At 46.0% G+C, this 23,155-nt stretch overlaps 1 protein-coding gene across 9 annotated transcripts in view; it reads left to right on the top strand.

Moving 5' to 3' along the window:
* Positions 1–23,155, top strand: part of ROR2 (receptor tyrosine kinase like orphan receptor 2) — a 227,628-nt gene that overhangs the window by 173,869 nt on the left and 30,604 nt on the right. For all 9 annotated transcript variants that reach the window (NM_004560.4, XM_005252008.5, XM_047423436.1 and 6 more), the window contains 3 exons: positions 542–619; positions 18,801–19,088; positions 20,259–20,289. In NM_004560.4, coding sequence (NP_004551.2) covers positions 542–619; positions 18,801–19,088; positions 20,259–20,289 — 397 coding nt within the window. The remainder of the gene's footprint in view (positions 1–541; positions 620–18,800; positions 19,089–20,258; positions 20,290–23,155) is intronic.

Raw genomic sequence — 23,155 nt, 5'->3', positions numbered from 1 at the left:
GAAGAATGGAAGTGAAAAGCCACAGCGCCCATTTATGTCCTTTACATTGTGGGGTGGGTACTTGGCTGCTGCCAGTGGGTCTGGGGATGGGGAGGGGAATGAGTTGCTTAAGAAATTCTCCAACTCTGAATTTATTACCCAGTTACCAGGACCTCCATCTGGAGGGCAGTCTGCGGCATCTGGCTACAGAAGTGTTTGATTTTGCCAGCCAGTGCTTTGGTTTCTTTCTCTCCCTCTCCTTCCCGCTCTCTGTCCCTCTCTGAATGAAGCCCAGGCTCCACTGACTTATTTCCATACCTGTGTTGCAAAGCCCCCGCATTTGCTATTCTTGTGATAAGCTTCAAAATCACTTTTACTGTTACATCATATCTTTATATCACTATAAAATCCCTCTAGAGGTTACCATAATGTCTTATCCCTCTGTGTTTTCTACAAATACTGGGTAGTTTTGCTAGAATGCTGTTGTCTTTGCATAAGAAGCAAATTAAAGGCTCCTGAAAGGAAAACTTGTTTAATACCTATCCTGGTTTCTTTTTCCCAGGTGAAGTGGAGGTTCTGGATCCGAACGACCCTTTAGGACCCCTTGATGGGCAGGACGGCCCGATTCCAACTCTGAAAGGTGAGCTGGGACATGCAGGTGCTCTCCATGTCCTCCAAATGCCCTGTGCTGAGGCTCATCTTGCACTGCCATTGCCTGAAGGAAGGCGCTGGGGGTCCTCTGGCCCCTTGGTGCCCCCTGGTGGTGGGTATGGTGGAATGCCACCTTGATTCCTGTGTTTCTTGACTTGGAGGGCATTGAGGGCCTGTTGGGGCCACAGGTGGGAGGTGACACGCAGGGAGGCATGGGTGGACAGATGGCGGCCTGGCAGATGGGGAAAGGGCCTGAGCGGAGCCTTAGGAGCTGGATTCCTGTTGCATGTGACTCCAGAGGTGTGTGTACGTCTCAGTGGGCAGATGGACGGCCCTCCTCCTCCCAGCCACCTGGAATTCTGTCTTGTGGCTTCAGTTCTTCCCCTGGGCCTGTGGTCAGAGCCATGCTCACTTGGCACACCTTGCAGGAATGCACCATAGATTTGTAGGGTCAATAGAACAAGTTTCCCCCGGATGCAGACCTGTGGCTTGAGGAACTGACGTGTTTGCTAATGCATATAGTGTTACCCCATAGCCACAGATAGCCTGTCTCAGTCAGCTCAGGCTGCCTTAGCAAGCACCACAGACCAGGAAGCTGAAACAACACACACACTTCCTAGTTCTGGAGGCTGGAGGTCCAAGATCAAGGTGCCAGCACAGTTGGGTTCTGGAGAGGACCCTCCTCCTGGCTTGCAGGCAGCTGCCGCCTTGCTGTGTCCTCTTACGGTGGAGAGACAGAGGTCTGTTTGATTCTCTTCTCATAAGGACACTATTCCTGTCATGGAGGCCCCGCTGAAACCGACCCAATAGTCCTATAGGCGGTTCTTTGGGATAAACAGAGAAATTGACCCTTCTGGTCTTAAAGTTTGAAACTTACATTTGTTTTATCTTGACTTCCTTCTTCAGGAAAAGGATGCCCAGACCCCTCAAAAAAGTATCGAATCATGCTTCTCCAGGCCCTCCTTCATCATGTCTGCTTCCTTACCCCTCCCTAGTTCCTGTTTTCTCACACATAGTTACATTTCTTCTCTGATGTATAAACCCCAAATTTTAGTCCATTGGGGAGATGGATTTGAGACTGAGTTCTCATCTCCTTGGCTGCAGCACCTGATTAAAGCCGATTAAAATCCTTTTCCTTGGCACTGCTTGTTGTTTCAGTGATTGGCTTTCTGTTTGGGGAGCAGGAGGACCTAGACCGAATCCCGGTGTTTTCATAACACCCCCATCATGACCTCATCTAATCCTAATTACCTTCCAAAGGCCTCACCTGCAAATATCATCACATTGAGGGATAGAGCTTCAACTTATGGGTTTGGGGGGCACCACTGCTCAGTCCATAACAATCAACTGCCAGAACAGCCACTTTATTTCTGTCCAATCTACAGAGTGGCTCTGCACAGCTTCCTCATGGAGGTCAGTTGTTTAAAACCAAGAGCAGGTGGAGCTCTGCCCAGCATGCAGGGTGGCAGTGAGGCTGGTGCCTGGTGCTTGGAGGCTTAAGAGGATTCCATCCTCTGTAGGATGTTAAATGTAGTAAACGCATGCTCTGAAAGCTTGTTTAGTACACTGGCCTTGGGGACCACATTTCCTTAGGAAGAAAAATAGTTTTTGTTGGTTAGATTCTCAACTTCTTTCTCAAAAGCCTGACTTAACCCACAGTGCAGACAGACCACAGATACTTACTGATTGTCCCCATAGCTGGCTCTGCGCAAGATCCTAGGACGTGTTGGCTGAACTGTGCTCTCTGCTGTGTGGATTTTACAGGTCTGGGGAAAGGCAAGCTGTCAGGTCATGATAAAATTCTGAGTTGTGGCCAAGTGGCCTAAAGGAAGAGATCAGGTTTTGGGAGGGTAGAAGAGGAACACATCTCTTGATCTGGGCACAGATGGTTGTGCTGAGATCTGAAGAGTGGACACTGGCCAAGTGAAAACGAGAGGGAAGTGTGTGCGAAGCCCAGTGGGGGCCCTGGGTCAAGCGGGACTTGGTGTCATGGTGGTACCGCAGGGGAGATGCCTGGCTTATGGGCTGGGGCAAGGTGGAGGTCAGAGTCAGCCGGGGTTGAACCCATGAATCTCAATAGGGCAGCTGGAAGGCTCTTGAAATTCAAGTCAGTTAGAATAAATAAAATTACGATTTCAGTTCCTTGGTTGTACTAGCTACATTTCAGTTTGGCAAGAGGCTCCCACAATGGGTAGCACAAATCTAAAACGTTCCAGTATCACGGAAAGTTCATGGGGCAGCCCTGGGCTACGCCCTGCACAGCACTTTAGGTCCTGGAATTTGTGTTTGATTGTCGGTTGTTGAGGGCGTCTGGTGTCGGGGGTGGTGCAGTTTGATTTACTCTGTGAAAAAATCACACGGCAGCTGTGAAGCACGGTTTGAGGAGAAGCAGAGGATGCAGTTGAGGGGGAGGGGGCGAGTGATGAGAAGCAGACAGGCCATATTAACGGCCGAGAATCCAACTTGAGTCATTCCATAGACTCTGATATTTCCTTGGGAAAATGTATTGCAGTCCTTTGTTTCAGATGCGCTGCAAACCTCTCACCCGGGGGCTTCCTTGTGGGCCTGGGGCGGGGCTGTGCCAAGGCTTCTGGAGCAGAGGGCTGCAGGGGCCCTGGGACTGCATGTGGGATGGGAGCTGTTCTTTAAGTGGAGTGATCACAAATAACCCTGCGAGGCAGAAACAGCTGCATATTCATGATGCACTTAGGAAGATGCATTTGCTTATCAAGGTGAAAAAATGACCATCAGATGAAATTTGACAGAAAATTTTATTCCCTGGATGCTGCAAGCTCCTGGCATTTATAAGTCAAATTCAGTGCTCTAAGGTAGGATTCTCTCAGTTCCATTTCTGGGAGTGGAGCAACTTCTCAAGCGTAGAATAGAATGCTTTCTACCGTGCTTTTTGTTTGTTGGGATTTGATAATCTCTTGACTTTTTTGTTGTTGTTGTTAACCCACAAGTGAATGGTTTAAAAACCATGTGTGTTCAGTGCGTTCCCATGACCGAAAGGAGTTGATTGATTACAGAGTTTGGAAGTTTGCCTCGGACCTGTCCAGAGCACAGAAACACGGACGCTAAAGGTGGCCCGTCAAGTGGGCACATCTGTACATACATGCATGTTTATGAAAGGGTAGTACAAAAAGAAAGCAAAGAACCACAGAAGGCCGGGCTGCCTTTCTTTGCAGTAGCAGGATAGAGTAGTATAGTATCACAGTTCTGAGCCTGGGTTTGCAAGAGGATGGGCCTGGATAAATGGTGGCTTCACCCTTCCCCCTGGGGTCAGGGCCTTGGGCATGGCACTGCTCTCAGCACAGTTTCAAGATGGGAGCACCCCCAGCATAGGCGGGATGAAAGGGCTTGCTCAGTTCACTGCAAGCACCTAGAAACAGTAGCTGATGCTGGCGCCATTTGTTAGCATCACCATCGTGATGATTGGTGGATCATCAGCACTCTTAGCGGGACAGGATCTGTAGTGAACTGCCCCCCAGAAGTCTCAGGGTAGGGGCCCCAATCTTTCCCTTGCTCATGAATTATCTGGTCCTGTAGTGTGATTTTACTTCCTTTTGAGTTCTTGCTCCTGCACAAATGGAGACTCACTCCACCCGTCCTTCTACTCCTGGCCCCTTCCTTATATGATTAGTAATAGAAGGAGTCGGCCTGGCAAAGCCAGACTCATTCTTCCTGCACGTTTTTGCTCATAGAGCTTCTGGGAATGTCACGCTTGGCCACATTTGGCCTAATCACATGTATAATCATAGCTGAATGTACTATATTAGCTATTTATTTAACCCAATCATCAGTCATGATGTATAAACATCTGCAAAATCACTGGCAGGTGACATTGGCCTGTGGACCAGTTCATCAGTGATATGACAGCTTTACCTTTGGCCAAGCAAAAGCGAATCTAAGAATTAGCTGGAAAATGTGTTTTTGTTCAGATGTCCTGGGTCAGTATTTGGCATGAAGCTTATATTTGGTAGATGGTATCGAGAGAGAGAGAGAGAAGAGAGAGAGGAGAGAGAGAGAGAGACAGAGAGAGAGATTCTCAGAGCAAAAAGCCTATATAGAGAAAATGAGCACTAAGGATGTTGTGATTTACAGATGAAAAGTTTGCCTTCAGTTTTCATATGCCAAAGTACTGTCATTGTTTAAGACTGCAGGCGACTGTAGGACTTGGTTATAACCGGGTTAACATGTGAGTGAATATTTAACAGAGCTTTGTCTTCGTTGTTACATTAGACGTCCAGGAGACATACACACATACATGCTTTAGAATTATCATTCTGTTACTTACAGAGGCTTATATCTGACCTAGAAACCACATGCTCTTTCGTTCCAAGACTGTGTTTTAAATGCACATGGAATACAGCTTGTGTTTTGAAAGATCAGTACTTTGGAATGTTTGTGGGAAGTGGATAATTTCTGAAGGCTGGGGCGGGGTGATGTGGGCTCGCCCGTCTGCTGGCCTCCTGTTCTGGCTCAGCCAAAATAGACCCGGCGAGCTGTGTCTCTCGACTTCAGAGAAGAGCTGCTCCTCGTCCACACTGCAGCCAGCAGGGGGATTCCTGACTTTGCCCATATGAGGTTGTGTTGCAATTATAGGTGATCTCAAGTGGATTCTAAATAACAGGGTAGTGAAACCAGTGCCTGGGTTACTAGGCTGTTCCCTGCTATTTGTGCCATGTCAGGCTGTGGTGCTGAACTAAAATTTCCTTGGAAAGAGAAAACAAAGCAGTCAGCAGAGCTCCCTGAGCTGACATGGAGACCATGCCTATTGGTCTCTGTTTACCAAGCATCAGTTTCCCAGTTCATGTAGGTCATATCGGCCGAATTATTGTGTGTGCTTCTGGTTTATTCTGGAACTCCTGGCATGCGTGCCTGTGTGTACGTATGATAGTTTGTTAGGTTTAACATAGAGTGAGGGTCTCCAAGGCTAAAAGGGTACAAATGAAAATGGGATCATCCCTGCAAACATAGTCAGCATAAAGTCTGTCAGGCTTGTTATTCACAACTTGGGCTCAGCATCAGGATGTGCCATGCAACTCTGCTAGGTGTGTCTCCTCTGGCCAGGGACCCCACAGAAAGTTACTTTTCAGGCTCCAGTTTCTGAATCTACAGACTGGGCATGATGAATGTTAGTTGTTCTGAGCGTGCACAGAGATGGCAGTTGTGTGTCAGCTGCTGGGTGCACGCCTGGTTCCAGGAGGCAATAACGTTGTTGTGCCTGGGCTTGTTGTTTCCTTAGAATACGGAAGACACTCCCTGGAGTGGGTGTGCTCCAGGTGCCCAGACCAGAATGTGAGAGGCACCCTGCCCCCGCCCATACCGAGTGAGGCTGGGGTGGGCCCCCGTGCTGACCGCCAGCAGGCGAGCCAGGGTAAAGATTATGAGGAATGTCCTCCTGCCAGGTGATTGTAGCCTGTCCTCAGAATTCTTTTCATCTTGAGAACATAAAGATTGAACACAGAGGTGACGCTTAGGTTTACCAGATACCCACAAGGGGTACTCAGGCACAAATAAGGATGCACAGGGGAGCGTGGTGCAGTCCCCAGGGCCACCATGAGGGCATCCCCCTGCAGCAGACTGCTCTGTTATTCCTTAATAATTTCCCTGCAAAGAGAGAAAGTACAGGGTCTAGACACATAGAACAATAAAGAGAAAATAACGTGAAGAGTACGGTGCAGCAGAAATGCACATGGAACTGCTGGTGGTCTGGATGTCCAAGGCGGTACTCGGATGGGCACGGGGGGTTTCTGGGAGGATGTGGCCCCTGAACTGAGGCTTCTTGCATTCAGCAAGTATTTACCGAAGCCCACAGCATGCTGGGCGCTCAGAGTCTCTGAAAACGTCCCAGTATGAGGCGGCGTGGTCTCTGCCCCTCCGGGCTCTCTGAGTGTCTTTCTAAATGGGAGAAGCAAGTGTGGGAACCACAGGAGGACCTCAGATCATGAAGGTACTGGAGGGAGGCGGGGCCGGGACGGGAGTGAGCGGTGCTGGCTGTCACAGTTGGGGTGGTCGAGAGGCTGAGCCCCACTGAGAGAGGACGTAGGGGCAATGGCTGGCAAAGGCCCCACAGCTCAGGATGCTCCAGGCAGGAGGCGGGCGTGGGAGAGGAAGGGAACGTAGAGTCCCGCTCAGAGCAGCAAGGCTATGACACCCAGTCTCACGGTGGGCACGCAGGGTCAGACTCGGGTTTCATTCTGGCCACTTCAGCTGTTATGTAGCCAAGGGCAGGAGTGGGGGGTGGTGTCCCACATGCCCTGCGTGCTCAGGGAACCCCCAGGACAGCTCTGAAGGTGCTGATATGCTTAAGGGGCACAGGTAGGGAGAGGACCAGGCTGCCACCAAGGAGGCCAGGGTGGGCTCCATGCTCATTGTGGGGCATCTCAGCCCTGCGGGTGTCGGCTGGAGCTAGAAACTCCTTTTACGAGGACACGGGAGGCTTGCACTGAGCCCAGTGTCCAGTGTCCACATCCACATCCACCCTGGGCTGGGGATTGCTAGGGGTACATTTTGTGGGCGCAAAGAGAAGCTCCAGGATGACATGGGGAGGGAGCAGCTGTCGAGCACTAGGACTTGGTGGAGGGAAGCTTCCAGGCAGGTCATTCTTAGGTTCCAAGTCAGCAGCCAGTTCAGCCCCTGCCAGTCTTGTCTGCCTCCGCCCGGCCCACAGCCACGCAATCCCAAGCAAACCTTTCCCTAAGACGTTTTCTAACATCCATTGGACAAAACAAACATGAGATGTCCAGGTTGTGAGCGTTGCACCACTCTGGAGGCTGAAGGCCATGTTCGAGGCACCTTTGATCCAAGTAGGGGACCCTTTATCCTCCTATTGGCTGTGAGTCTGCAATGCCTATTGGGTTGTCTGGATCTGGAGCCACTGAATGGTCTTGGAAGAAAACTCTACCCCACAAATAGGAGGTTTCAAAGTGTGCACCGTTGGTTATTCGGGGCAGAGTTTGGGCCGGGCACCTGAGACTGTCTGGACTGTCTGGAGACCCACAGCGGCTTCCTGCCATCGATGAGGCTGATTTCTGCCTCCGAACCTTCCCTGCAGTCCTCGATCAGCCCCTGTCTTTCTCCCAGGGGTAGCGTTCTGACAACCTGCGCCCAGCGGGGTGGCGTCCCTATGGTGGGCGGCCGTTTCCCTCATCTGACTGGTATTGTCAGTGGCTATTGTTCTTCCTCCTGCGGGTGACACACACGGACAGCAGTGATTCTTCCTGAGCTTGCTGGATTTGAGACCATACTGCAAAGGGCTGTGCCACCACCTGTCTGTCTCTGTCTGTCCCCAGGGTGTGCACACACCCATGTCTCTGTCTCTTTGGGTGGGTGTGGATGTCACCTGTGTGTAGGTCTTAACTTTAGTTTCTTGGGCTGTCTCCTTCCTTCTACAGCCGTTCTTCTTTCTTCTTCAATTCCTCTACCCTAGCAAAGGATGAGGACCTTTGTCATAGCAAAGGACTTCAAGACGAGGTGCCTTAAGACATCAGAATGTTTTCTCTCAGCTCTGGAGACCGGAAGTCTGAAATCAAGGTTTGTTGGCAGAGTCGGTTCCTTCTGAAGGCTCTGGGGACAGTCTGTGCCATGCTTCGGTCTGAGCTCCAGGCATTGCTGGCAACCCTTGGTGCCCATGGTGCTCTGTGGCTGTGGCGGCATCACTCCATCTCTGCTCTTTCTTCCCTCTAGGTCCGTGTCTGAAATTCCCTCTTCCTGTAAGGACAGTGTTGTTGGATTAGGGCCCTCTCTAATCAAGTAGGACTCCTCTTAACTTCGTTACATCTGCAGTGACCCTGTTTCCAAATAAAGTTACACTCACGGGTTGCGGGGATGAGGACTTCAGCATGAGTGGCTGGGGGACACGGGTCACCCCACCATACTCTCAGTTTCTTCAAAGGTACAAACACTCTTAGGTGGTTTTCTTCATCTCGCAAGTCCCCATGCTTCTAGTTTTCCCCGTTTTATCTGACTCCCATCCTTCCTGACACTGCCCCTGGTTTTCTGCAGCTGGCTGCATGCACCACTCAACAGCTCAGTGGGAAAGCCCGAGTGGAGTGGCCACTGTTCCACACCCGCAACGGATTTATTAACCTGGAAGTATCTTCCCTTGGGAGGAGCAGCTTTATGTCCTTCCTGCAGCTCTCAGGATTTCCATTCCATGTGCCCTTCCAGGAAATTTGTTTTATTTCCCGCTAATCAAAGCGCCATGACCTCATGATCTCTAATATGTAAAGTTTTCTTGATCTTCCTGGACTGATCAGTGTGACCTGGTAAAAGCAGATCCTCAATGCCTAAGTAATTTGACCAAGTTGGTGAATACTTGGATGATTGGCTGGATTTAAAAATCGTAAGTCGGCTGGACATGGTGGCTCACACCTGTAATCCCAGCACTTTGGGAGGCTGAGGCGGGTGGATCACGAGGTCAGGAGATCAAGACCATCATGGCCAACATAGTGAAACCCCGTCTCTATTAAAAACACAAAAATTAGCTGGGCGTGGTGGTGCATGCCTATAATCCCAGCTACTCGGGAGGCTGAGGCAGGAGAATTGTTTGAACCAGGGAGTTGAAGGTTGTGGTGAGCCGAGATCACGCCACTGCACTCCAGTCTGGCGACAGAGCGAGCCTCCGCCTCAAAAAAAAAAAAACCGTAAGTCATTGATCTGACTCTGACTGTGAGACAGAGCAGTGAGGGGATTCCTCTGTTACTTTGCCTTTGGGTTGTTTTGATGCTTGGACTCAGCTCCCTGTCCAGAGATTTGCAGTGCACAGAGAGCTGACGTGGGCACTGGGGAGATGAGCCTGTACCATCAGTTGCTAAAGTTGTGCCACTGTTAAGTTAGAAAGGGGAAGTTTTTTGGTTCAATTAAAAGGGAAGACTTCTGTTCTGTGTAACGCTATGGAGTGTGAGTGCTGCCCAAATCCAAGTGAGCCGAAACCTCAGTCAGCCATGCCTGGCTCCTTTTGGCCTGGCAAATTGTTTCTGGAGAGGTTTAGGGCAGCTACAAAGGAATGTTTTTGTGAGTTGGAGGAGAGCTTAGAAAATGGTTAATACAAACCCCGTATTTTGCACATAAAGGAAATGAAGCCAAGAGAGGCTAAATGACTGGCTATAAATTAAACACCAATGGAGAAAGAAATATTGTGCTTAATCTCTAGAGAGCTTTCTTTCCCGCTTTCATGTTTGGCCCCTAGAGAATCGATGACGTTGAAAATGGTGGACCAGACTCATTTGGCAGCCCTCCCACATAAATTACATATGAGTGCTCAATAAAATACTAGTAAAAGATGCAAATGCTTATATGAATGTGCAAGGGAGGTGGAGAAATGCCCAGGAGCCAGGAATGGAAAGGAAGCAGAATTATAAGTGACAGCCCTGGGCTGCCGCAGCAGAAGCCACTTGAGGTAGCCCACTACGTTTGCAGCTTTGGAGAACAGCCCAATTTTCCTAGGTCCTCAAAAAGAGTTTATCTGAGACCAAGGGCCGAATTCTGAAGGCGTCATGGAGTTGTAACATGAGCTCACCAACAGTGAAAAGTGGTGTCACCACATGGCCGTGGCACACATGTGGACGTGTCTGTGGGCCACAGAGCAGAGAGGGCACCAAGACGTGGACACAGCAAATCCTGCAGGGCTTTAATGTCAGAATAGGCTCGGGAACATAAATGCTACACTTGAGAATATGCAGGGATAGGGAAATCCTGATGGAGAGTAAATGAAATAAGAAACCTAAAGTTACTGATTTCACTTGGAATTGGATGTACTAAGTTTCTTCTAATCAGGAGAAATGAGGGACTAGGAGAAAAATCTAGCTTGGTTTTAGGAAAATAAAGGAATGTGCATTTTTTGCACCCTGATATAAGGCCTATGAAATATCATCTCTAATATAGAAACGATTCTGCTAGGTCCAGTTTCATCAAGAGCCTTGGGTTTCCACACCAAGCCACGAGGGAACCCATGGGCTCTACAGAACCAAAGCTTTGTTGACAAGCTTACCTGTGAAGCTAGGAGACCTGCGAGCTGCAGTCCTGGAGAAGAGGGATGAGCACATTGCCACAGGGTCAGCCCCTGGAGGTCAGATGAGAGATTTCCTCCACCCTGGCTCCAGATGGGAAACACAGAAGGCTCTCCCATGAGAAATCAGTTGGGACTGGCATCTCTGGAAGCCAGATTTACATTACCAGCATGCTATAGGAAATTCCAAGCCAAAAAGTTAAGATAAAACTTGGCACTGCCTGTCAAGGGAACCCAGTCCTCAAGGGATTCCCTCAGAAAAACCAGCCTTACAATAAAAAAATTACACAGCACACTTGTCGAGGCCCAGGATGAGTGGCAAGCTAGTAAACAATGAAGCCAGAAGGATTAAAGATGAAAGGAGGAAACAGAAACCACATAGAAGAAAAAGCAGTGGTGGATTTGAAAAGGAACCAAACAGACCTTCTAGAAAAGAAAGATATAGTCCATGAAATGAGAAACTTGATGGGTATGTTACAGGGTAGATGCACACAGCTAAAGACAAAAAGGGTAAGGAGTATTAAAAATAGGGAGAGAGCACAGTGGAATTATCATATGAGGAAAACCAGCATATACCTAGAAGGATATTTAATATTTTATGAAATACTGATAGAGGTTTTATAGAATTGACAGAAAGCACAAATCTTCAGATTTGAGGAAGAGCACTGAGACCTGAGGAGGCTAAAATAAAAATAAATTTACTATTAATGATAGACAATTTGGAATGGCAAAGACAAAGGAAAAATATTGAAAATAGCCTAAGAAGGGGAAAGTTCAGAATACTTGCAAAGGGAACAAGAACTGCAGGACTTCCAACAGTCACCATAGAAGCCAGAGGACAGTATTGCCTCAAATTCTATACCCAACGAAACTATCATTCACGTGTGAAAGTCATGGATGTTTTCAGACCAAGACTAAGAGTGTTTGCAGCCTTAGTCCTTTACCCAAAGAATGAATGTTATTCAGGATGAGCTCAATTGAACCTAAGAGGAAGGAGTGAGATGCAGGATGTGTTGGTGAGGAAAGAAGTTGGTAGATCTCAAAATACTCTGACAGTAAAAATAACAATAATTGGAGGCTTAAAATCAGAGTGTATCTAAGCAGTAGGAAGCAGTTCAATGTGTGTGGTGTGTGTGTGTGTGTGTGTGTGTGTGTAAGTGATTATAGCTCATAGCATTTAAAGTCTTTTGTAATTGGGGGACTTTGCTAAATTAGGTAAGCCTATAAAAAGTAGTTAAGCTAGCCACTTATGTATAACTTTCAAATAAGCAGAGGGGAAAAATGGAGCATTTAAAAATCCAATAGAAGATAGGAAAGAAAAAATAAAAGGCAATGGAAATATTAAAAATAAAACTCATCAGTTAAAAATGTAGACTCAAAATGTAAAATTATATGCCACTTATAAGAGTTATATCTAATACAGAATCATAAAAATGATAAAGATATTAAAAAGATAAAAGTAGGGCTATGTTAACCAAAGGTTCCCTGAGGATGGCTATAATAATATCAGATAAAATGATTTTCTAGGCAGAATTGTTGCTTAGTGATGTATGGACCAAATGATGTAATAAAACTGAAGTTGGGAATGCATCCAGCCCCATCATTTCCCATATATCAACTCAACTTGACAGAATTACTAAAAGCTATTTGACAAATGCAAAGTCTTTGAATCTAGTAGATAAACATATTAAAAATATGAAAAACAAAATCAACAAGCTTGATCAAATGGGCACTTAAAACTCTGCCATGAATGTAGAATAAGCACATTCTTACTACGCATATGTGGACCATCTTCAGGAAGCCGACTCTGCGGAGCATATCTCAGTGGCTTCAAAGAATTGTGATCACACAGACCATGTTCTGTGACAACAGTGCAATTAAAGCACACTTTAAATAACTCATAGCTAAAAGAAAAATGTCATAAGATATATTACACAATATTTGGGTCTGACTAATGATGTGAAGATTAATTAATTGGATGGCTAAAGAAGAGTGGAAGGAAAATTTTACACTTAATGCATACATAGAAAAGGAAAAAGATATAAAATGAATTAACTACAGAAGTTGGAAAAAGCATCAGAATAGAGAGATGAACAGGCAGTTACACAAGGGGAGCCCCAATGACGAGAAATATTCCAAAGGATGTGGAAGCTCACGAGGAATTCATAAGATGCGAACTAAAACTGTAGCGCAGCACCTATCAGATTGGCAAATATTTTAAAGCACCCAAACACCAAATTCTGGCACAGCTGTAGGGAAGCACTTTAACTCAGATATTGTTAGTGAAGTACAAATTGTTTCAAGCACTTTTGAGACTCAGATCAATGAAAGATTTCAAGACTCTATGACACCACATCCAAGTGGATACTTTTTTCCCCTTCCAACTTTCATTTTAGGTTCGGAGGTACATGTACAGGTTTGTGACATGGGTAAATTGTGTGCCGTGGGGGTTTGGTGTACAGATTACTTTGTCACCTAGGTAATGAGCATAGTACCCAATAGGTAGTTTTTTAATCCTCACCCTCCTCCTACCTTCAGTCCTCCCGTAGGCCCTGGTGTCTGTTGTTCCCTTCTTTATGTCCATGTGTACTCAGTGTTTTATTCCCACTTATAAGTGAGAACATGAGGTATTTGGGGTTTTGTTCCTGTGTTAATTTGCTTAGGGTAATGGCCTCCAGCTGCATCCATGTTGCGCAAAGGATATGATTTTTTTTATGGCTGCATTGTATTCCATGGTGTATAAGTACCACATTTTCTTTATCCAGTCATGTATGTACTTTTGAGAGACTCTTGTATATGCACAGGACAAGACATCTATATAGGTGGTCATTAAATGTTACAATAGCAATAATGTGGAAATAGCTTACAGTCCTTCAACTGGGAAATGGATAAGGAAATTGTGGCTTGTTTGTATAATGGGCTATTCTATTACACAGTAATTAAAATAAATGGAGCACATCAACCAACATAGATGGGTGAAATCAACTAGCAAATATGACCTTTCAGGGAAAATTTCTAAAAGCATAAAATAATATAAATATGCATTGGAATGATGCATACAAGTTCTCTGGAGAAAAATAAGCAAGAGTAGGTTTTGGTTGCATTCTAGAATTTTTTTTAAGTGTTCAAAGTGAAATATGGGAAAATTAATGTCAAATCTTTATACGTTTTGTTCATGGTTATTGTTTGATAGCTGTGTTTTTTCTGTATGTTTGCAGCATTTTAGCATTTAACATTTTTAAATCAAAAAAGAATGTTGAAAAAACAATTAGGCAAAAAGATATGGGAGATATGAATTTTGAAAGCAAAAAGGTTATGTTATTGTTATTTGAGGAAGATGGTATCTATGTGGAAAATCCAAGGCAATCAACTCAGAAACTGTTATAACTAAGATAGCTGAGTAAAGTGGCAAGATCTTTAAAAACTTGCAAATGGGATTAAGTTAATTATTTTGAGAAAAGAGGATCATTCTCTCTTATCCGGGTAGGCCCAGTGTAACCACAGAGGTCCTTAGGAAACCGGGGCTGGAAGACTGGATTCAGCAGTAGATGTGACAATGGAAGCAGAGGGTGGAGTGATGCAATGAGGAATCACTGGCCAAGGAAAGAGGGGGTCCCTAATGTTACTGAAACACCGGGGTTTGGTCTAGGTCCTGCTGCTCACCACACGGAAAGCCAATCACTGAGACAACAATTATTGCCAAGAAAGAAGGCTTTAATCCGGTGATGCAGCTGAGGAGATGGGAGCTCAGCTTCAAATCCATCTCCCTGTCTGATTAAAATGAGGGCTTTATATAGCAGGGAAGAAAGGTAGCTATGTGTGGGAAAACAGGAACATGGAAGGGGTAAGGAAGCCATCCTGATGATGGAGGGGCCTAGTGTCTTATTGTCTGGATGTGATGTGATGATCTGGTGAGTTTCAATTCTTTGATACTTTTTTGAGAGGTCCTTTCCTGAGGAAGGGTCAATTTCTATGTTTATCCAAAAGAACTGTCTATGGCAGTGGTCCTCAACCTCCCAGCCATGGACTGGTACTGGTGCGTGGCCTGTTAGGAACTGGGCTACACAGCAGGAGGTGAGCAGTAGGTGAGAAAGTGAAGCTTCATCTGTATTTACAGCCACTCCCTATCAATTACATTACCACCTGAGCGCCACCTCCTGTCAGATCAACAGTGGCATTAGCTTCTCATAGGAGCTCAAACCCTATTGTGAACTGTGCATCTGAGGGATCTAGGGTGTGCGCTTATGAGAGTCTAATGCCTGATTATCTGTCACTGTCTCCTGTCACTCCCAGACGGGACTACTAGTTGCAGGAGAACAAGCTCAGGGCTCCCACTGATTCTACACATTATGGTGAGTTGTATAAATAAATAGAAATAAAGTGCACAATAAATGTAATGCTCTTGAATTATCCCCAAACCAAGGCCCCTACCTCAGGCCATGGAAAGATTATCTTCCATGAGACTGGTCCCTGGTGCTAAAAAGACTGGGGACCACTGGTCTATGGGACTGTTGGGTTGGTTTCATTGGAAACCTGGCAAGGTTTGAGGAAAGCAGTTCTCACACAGAGCCTCTAGAAGGAAGGCAGCCCGTGTCACATGGATATGAGGACTTTGACCCCCATAACTGTAAGATGAAAGATATGTGTTGCTTTACACCCCTGTTTGTGGTAACTTGTCACAGCAGCCACAGGAAATTAGTACACTATGTAGATGATTGCTATCTAATAGTTTCCCTATAAACCTAAAGTCATTTAGACAGAAATAATAGAAAAAGTATTTACAATAGTAAGAAAAATTAGAGAACAGCTAGAAATCTACCTAAAAATATATGTGAAGATCTATATTAAGAAAATTACAAAGCTTTTCTGAATACTTCAGAAGGTCTGAAATAGATACATAGACCATGCTTTCTCAATATCATGAAGTGGGTAGTTTTATGCAAATTATCCATTAAAGTCCTACTTTTAAAATGGAACTTGCTGGGATGATTTTAAAATTTAGAAGAGAAAAGTAGCAATGAAATTGAGAATATTGCCCTCAAAAAGTAACAGTTGTTTTTCTTTTCTTTTTTTTTTTTTTTGAGACAGAGTCTCGCTCTGTCACCCAGGCCGGAGTGCAGTGGCGCGATCTCGGCTCACTGCAAGCTCCGCCTCCCGGGTTCACGCCATTCTCCTGCCTCAGCCTCCCGAGTAGCAAGGAGTACAGGCGCCCGCCACCTCGCCTGGCTAATTTTTTTTTATTTTTAGTGGAGACAGGGTTTCACTGTGTTAGCCAGGATTGTCTCCATCTCCTGACCTCATGATCCACTCGCTTCGGCCTCCCAGAGTGCTGGGATTACAGGCGTGAGCCACCGCACCTAGCCCACAGTTGTTTTTCTTAATGTCCAAACGTACTTCAGTCATCATAATTTAACAAATGTGATGTTGCCACAGCAACAAGCCAAGTGATTTAGTGGGGAGGGGAAAGGCAAGGTTAGAAGTGAATAGAGCTTGTTTTAGATGGGCAGCCAGAAAACACCTTCCATGGAGGGGACATTTCAGCAGGTGTGATACATGAGAGACAGCAAAGAACACTGAGGAGTGGCCTTGGCCAACTGAACAACAAGGAACCAGCTTGCTGTGCTTTGGAGAGAGCAAGGGACTCCCTGTCCAGTGGGGAAGAAGTGTGGGGAGGTTAGAGAAAAATTTGGGAGCGTTGATACTGTGGATATAATCTAGTTATTCTCCATTATCTGTCTTTCTGATTTCTTTCTGAAGGCTCAATTTTACTCACCTACTTGGGGAGACAGCTGTAAATTATCAGGTTACCTAATGATGGCCCCATCTGAGTACTGGTCCCACTGAGCTTCCAATATAATGTGAAGATGGCTGCCTCAAGGCCTGGCTGGAACGTGGTGCTGTCCGTGAGACTCTATCCTGGTCCCTTCCCACCTGGGCAGGCCTTTATATGCCACTGCCTCAGCACCTTCCCAGGTATAGCTGCTGGCCATTTAGCAATATTCTTTTCAATGCTAGTCTGGCCAGAACACAGTGAAATGATATGCTGGGATGGGCAGCCCAGATTATATCAAAACCACCACTTCACATCGTCACAGCAGATTAGATACTGCATTCAACAGAGAAACAAAGACATGGGATCCAGTAGACGGGAGCATGGGGAATGCAGATTCCCCATGCTGTGCCTGTATGGTTGAGTTAATGAAGATCATACATACAGAACTTTACCCTGCCTGATTCAGCCTATCTTTTTAAAGAATTGTCATCAGCATTTTAGTGACCTTCCAGCTTTATGTTGTCAATAAGAAGTACCTTCTATAACTTAATTCAGTGAATGGAAAAGGGTTGGCTAGGAGAGTATCCAGGTAGAACCTAATGATGTTAATAATAATTATAAGTAGTGGTCTCTGCTCATTAATGACTACTCTGCAGACAGGTGCGTTTCCACTGTCCCGTGAATGAAGACCGTCTCCTCATCTTAAATCCACCGCCTGGCTTCCCCCACCTCTCCATCACCTCCACCTCCACAGATGCTGGAGGATCCTACAACACTTCTTACCCTTAGGGTTCACTAGAAATACTATAATTTTCCGATTAAATCTGTAACAACAGATGCCTGCCATCTTTCAACTTCACTTGAAAAGAAAGGATCAAGGCCAACCAGAAATGAGCCAAAAGATTCAGAACATGGATGTATCTGTTTTGAAGTCATTTTCAGATTGCTGTGTTGTTTTAGCTTTGTCTGATGTAAGTTCATGTTGATGATTAACTTTCTTGTCCAACATTAGTTTTCCCTACATGTTACATTAACAGAATTGTATTTGCATGTTCCTCTTAAGAGACGGAGTAGTTCTCCAGCCTCTTGACCACACCACACACCTGCGTGTGCAGGCACACACATACATGTGCACCACACAAACACCACACATGCATACTCACACACATCCCTCCTCCTTTGTCCCTTTCACTTCCCCTTGTTCCCTGTAGCCTTGCGTTGCCCCCTAGAGCTCCTGCCTGTGGCTGTACTGGGCTCCCCACTTATCAGGGCAGTGTTTCCAGCTCCTATTTTAGGAGCAGCCCACTCACTCCCCATTCTGGGTGCTTTAAGACCCTGTGTGCCCCCTAGTGTGTGTGCGCGGGACTGCTTCTGTCTGCTCTGGACCTGGGTGCAGCAGGACAAAGCCTTCAGCTCCCCCTCATCAGCATTGTAACTTCTGTTCTATTTACAGGACTGTGATTAGCTTGGTTTGGGGATGTCCATGTTTTGTCACACATCTTTTTTTAATATTTTACTTCTGTGGCTTTGTGCTTAATGATATGGTAGGCAAGGAGGAGGGACTTTCTGAGCGTGAATTTACATCATTTTGACCAGCCTGGGTTAGATGTAGTGTTTGGAAAGAGAAGCACAGTTGATCCTCATCATTTGCAGATTCCGTAATTGTGAGTTCACCTAATACCTAAAGTCTATTTGTAACCTCCAAATCAATACTTACGGTGCTTTTGTGGCCTTTCACAGACACACGCCCACGGCAGTGAAAAATTTGTGTCCCAGCTGGGGCTAAACAAGGCGATGGTCTGCTCCCTGGTTTCTGCCCTCATATTGTGAACATGTGGCCTTTTCTTGGTCTATTTAGTGCCAAGTTTCTTGCATATTTGGGCTTTTTGTTGGTGATTTTATTGTTTATGATGGCCCCCAGGCACAGCACTGAAGTGGTCTGGTGTTCCTAAGTGCAAGAAAGCTGCGACATGCCTTATGGAGAAAAAAATGTGTGTGAGAGAAGCTTCGTTCAGGCATGAGTTATGAGGCTGTTGGCCATGGGTTCAATGTGAAGGAATCAACAGTACACATTGAATATGGTGTCTTTAAACAGAAACACACATAAACCAAGGTTATGTATTGGTTGGTTGGTGAAAGTATTATGACGAGAGGCTCACAGGAATTTGACTCTGTATTTCCCATAGGAGCAGTGGTTCAGTATTCACTAATTCAGTGTTCCCTGTAGCTTTCTAGAAGATAATTACCGCAGATAACAACCTATTTTAGTAGGTGACAAAAATCGAAACCTTCCCTTGGAAGAGTTCATAGCAGAGCCCCCAGGTAGCCCTTCCTTCCAGCCCTCACTGACGCTTGCTCTTTTGTGACCGCTCTCCTTGGCAGGTTACTTTCTGAATTTTCTGGAGCCAGTAAACAATATCACCATTGTCCAAGGCCAGACGGCAATTCTGCACTGCAAGGTGGCAGGAAACCCACCCCCTAACGTGCGGTGGCTAAAGAATGATGCCCCGGTGGTGCAGGAGCCGCGGCGGATCATCATCCGGAAGACAGAATATGGTTCACGACTGCGAATCCAGGACCTGGACACGACAGACACTGGCTACTACCAGTGCGTGGCCACCAACGGGATGAAGACCATTACCGCCACTGGCGTCCTGTTTGTGCGGCTGGGTGAGTTGGACAGTGAAATTGTGTGGGTTAGCAGATATGAAGGTTCCCAGCCACCGAGCAAGAGGTCCAGTTGCTATTTGAAACTGAACACACACCAGTCAGCACGAGGGGAGAGCAATGAAACCGTTCCCTAGGGCCTTCCCCATGTGCCCCAGGGCCCAGCTTGACCTGTTACCCATTTACTAGTAATAAGAGAAAATAGGGCGAGGCACGGTGGCTCACGCCTGTAATTCCAGCACTTTGGGAGGCCGAGGTGGGCGGATCACCTGAGGTCAGGAGTTTGAGATCAGCCTAGCCAACATGGTAGTAGTTGGCCAGTTTAGTAGAAACTCCATCTCTACTAAAAATACAAAATTAGCCTGGCATGGTGGCGGGCGCCTGTAATCCCAGCTACTCAGGAGGCTGAGGCAGGAGAATCGCTTGAACCTGGGAGGTGGAGGTTGCAGTGAGCCGAGATCACGCCATTGCATTCCAGCATGGGTGACAAGAGTGAAACTCTGTCTCAAAAAAAAAAAAAAAAAAAAAAAAGAGAACAAAAAGAAAATAGGTGCAGATGGAGAGGTTTATGGACCTGGAGCCCAGAAGACAATCCCAGGCACACACGAGGAGCTGAGGTGTTTAGCAGGAAGGCTGTTTGTTAGGAGGTCAGGTGTCAGTGGGAGAGTGGCCACACTGCAGGACGGCTAGGTAGGGCCCGAGGCTGACCTGGCTGGGGTGGGGAGAGAGCTGAGTGCGATGACCAGAGATTCTGAGTCTCTGTGCTCGTCACACCTGGTGAAGGAATTAAGTGGCAGGAAGGACTGTGTCCCCCTTCATCCCACCTGTGAAAAACTCCCAGGCAGCAAACGCCCCGGCCCTGCCACCGAAGCCCACGCCATCCGATCATAAGTAGTAAAACAGATTTTGTGTGTAAAGACTAGATGAGAAGAGAGAGAGTAAGGACAGCAAAAACTCCAAAAACAAAGATATCCTCAGTGACAAAGCACCCCTTCCCTTGTGTGTGGTTTCCAGCCTTGCTGACGTAATCACGAGTGGAGCCTGAGGCCCGAGGACAGCTGCCCACCAGTGAGCCCGCTGGCTTCAGCCTGTTTGCCACTGGCCTGATTTGAAGAAGGTTGTATTCCAAATCATGGAGTATTAATAACTTGTCTTTTTGTTTCCTCTTTTTAGGTCCAACGCACAGCCCAAATCATAACTTTCAGTAAGTATCTGTTTTCCCCAAGCCGTGTTCTGCTGCTCTGAGGGTTTTTGTTATGTAGGAATCCGGGGTTTAAATCCTGCCAGCTCATGTCTTTGCCGAATTTGCTAGAAGTTGGCTGGGCTTCACACAGGGGTGGCCACGTGCTTGCTTAGGGTTGGGAAACATTTACATTTTTCATGTTTCTTGTACAGAAAAAAAGTCAGAAAAACAAAAATGGTTAATTTCTTTCTGTGATTGTGACCTTACACAGGGCTACTGAGAGGAGTATAAATATACAGGCCAGGTTGCCTGGGCACCAGGAAGGATACCGGCTCATTAGGACATTGGGAAACAGGGACGTAATTCACTCTGAAATCCCAGCACTACCAGCTGCAGTTAATAAATGTGTGCCCCTGAGCCTTGGGCCACCCCGTGGCAGTGGGTGGGAGTCTCAACCCCACCTTGCAGATGAGGAGACCGAGGCTCACAGCCAGGCTCACACTCCTTCACGAGCTGCTGACAGCAGTGGCTTTGAACTCAGGCCTCTGGTTTCCCAGTACGAGGTTATTCCACTGTGGCCAGGCTGTCTTGGGAGAGTCCCCTCTGAACTGCCCACACTCTCCCATCGTGTACCCAGAGGAGTGCTCATTCCATTGCCGGTGTTTGAGATGAGCAGTGACTGTCCGGGTTTCCTGCATTTCCTCCTCAGACATATTGGAGAGCAGTGCTTCACTTTGAGATGTTCTGAACAATAGCATGAACACTATATGGTTGGTAAAGTGTGCAGTGTTGGCTGATTTCTGTTTCCCTGGGCCTTGTACCCATTACCCACCCATGATGTGCTGCAACACCACGTTGGGAGGCTGGGCAGGGCAGCGACCTGTCTCAGCAGACATCAGCAGCTTGCTTGCAGAGGGCAGATTTTTTTCCCCCCCCAAATAGACAGGCCTGGCTTTTCACCCAGACTGGAGTGCAGTGGCACGATCACAGCTTACTGTAGTCTTGTACTCCTGGGCTCAGGCCATCCTCCCCCTTCAGCCTCCCAAGTAGCTGGGACTGCAGGTGCGTGCCACCACACACCCGGATAATTTTTTCTTATTTTTTGTAGAGATGGGGTCTCACTATGCTGTCCAGACTGGTGACAAACTCTTGCCTCGAGCAATCCTCCTGTCTCGCCCTCCCAAATCACTGGGATTGTAGGTGTGTGCCACCACACCTGACCTAGAGGGAAGATATTTGGGAAGATTCTGTGCTGAGCAATAGTGATGGAGCATTTTTCCTTAATAGTCCTTCAGACACAGAGTAAGGAAAGAAGAAATTGCATCATGAGCACAATTATGGGGCTTTGGAAAAAGGCATATAAGTCATTTCAAAAGTTGAACTATTGTTCTCTCTTATTTTATATTTATGTCTTTTATTTTAGTTATTTTATTTTTTGAGACAGAGTCTCGCCCTGTCACCCAGGCTGGAGTGCAGTGGTGCAGTCTCCGCTCACTGCAACCTCTGCCTGCCAAGTTCAGGCAATTCTCCTGTCTGAGCCTCGAGTAGCTGAAATTACAGATGCGCACCACCATGCCCGGCTAATGTTTGTATTTTTAGTAGAGACGGGGTTTCACCATGTTGGCCAGACTGGTCTCGAACTCCTGACCTCAAGTGATCCGTCCACCTTGGCCTCCCAAAGTGCTGAGATTACAGGCATGAGCCACTGCACCCGGCCTATATTTATGTATTTTATAAATAAAACTTTTATAGTTCATTTATATATAGTTACATAAATATATTATGTAACTATATAATATATTGTAAATACATAACATATAATTACAGAGCTATAATTATACAAATATTAAACATTCATATATTTATATACAAATTGTAAATATATATATTTATATAAATTATTTCACAATATTTTTACATTGACTTTCTTCTCACTTTAAGTTATGGATTTAATCCACACATTGATGTAAATGACTGGGGCAGTTTCGGAAAGTCCCGCCTGACCTCCCATCCTTCCAGGCCTCCTGCCTCCCTTGTCATAAAGGTAAATCATCCAGGGAGTTTGTAGGCACTCAGTACATACATACATCTACCTAAGGAAATACAAAACAATCAACTTGAAAAAAGGTCTAAAAGCACATAAATTACTCAGTATTATTGAGGCAATGAAGAAATATGCTTACCTATACACTATTGATGAGAAATTTCTGGAGTGCTATTTGACAATAAACACAAAAATATTTTTAAAAAGAAATACCTCTTATCAGTTTTATATACTTTTTTACATAAATGATGCTATACTTGACATGTTTAGTTAACAGTATTCACAGAAATCTTTCCATCTCAGTGTATTTGAGGTTTCCAGATGCTCTCTTTCCCTGTTTCTGGACTCATGTGCAGAGCATGTGACTGTTCCATTGTGACAGGCATTCCCATCAGGGAAGCCTCATCCCAGCCACTCGTGCCACCGCGTCTCCCTTCCCTGGCCCTGAGACCTGTGGCTGGGTTTCTCTAGGAGAGATTCTGAAGAGGAAAAACTAAAGGGGCACAGGCATCCCCTTTTTAAAACTGATACTGCCAAATGGTCATTCGTAGGTTACTTTCCCGACAACGTCAAAGGACCCATTTCTCCTTATCTTCCATAAGATGACTTCCAAACTTGTTAACTTCTGCCACTCTGAAGGATGAAAAATGAATAAATGACCTGCTTTGTTCTCCATTTCCCTGGTTACTAGTGAGGCTGAGCATGTGGACACACATTGCTTGGCACTCATGTCTCCTCTTTGTCAATTGCCACTTCATATTCTTCGCTCATTTTTCCTTTACATTGTTTCTTAATGAATTTTGATAATTCTTTATGTCTTATTTCTTGATCATATAGAAATTA

Source organism: Homo sapiens, chromosome 9 (assembly GCF_000001405.40).
Source record: "Homo sapiens chromosome 9, GRCh38.p14 Primary Assembly".
NCBI lineage: Eukaryota > Metazoa > Chordata > Mammalia > Primates > Hominidae > Homo > Homo sapiens.
Note: the sequence above shows the minus strand (reverse complement) of the source record. Positions and strands in the feature narration are given on the sequence as shown.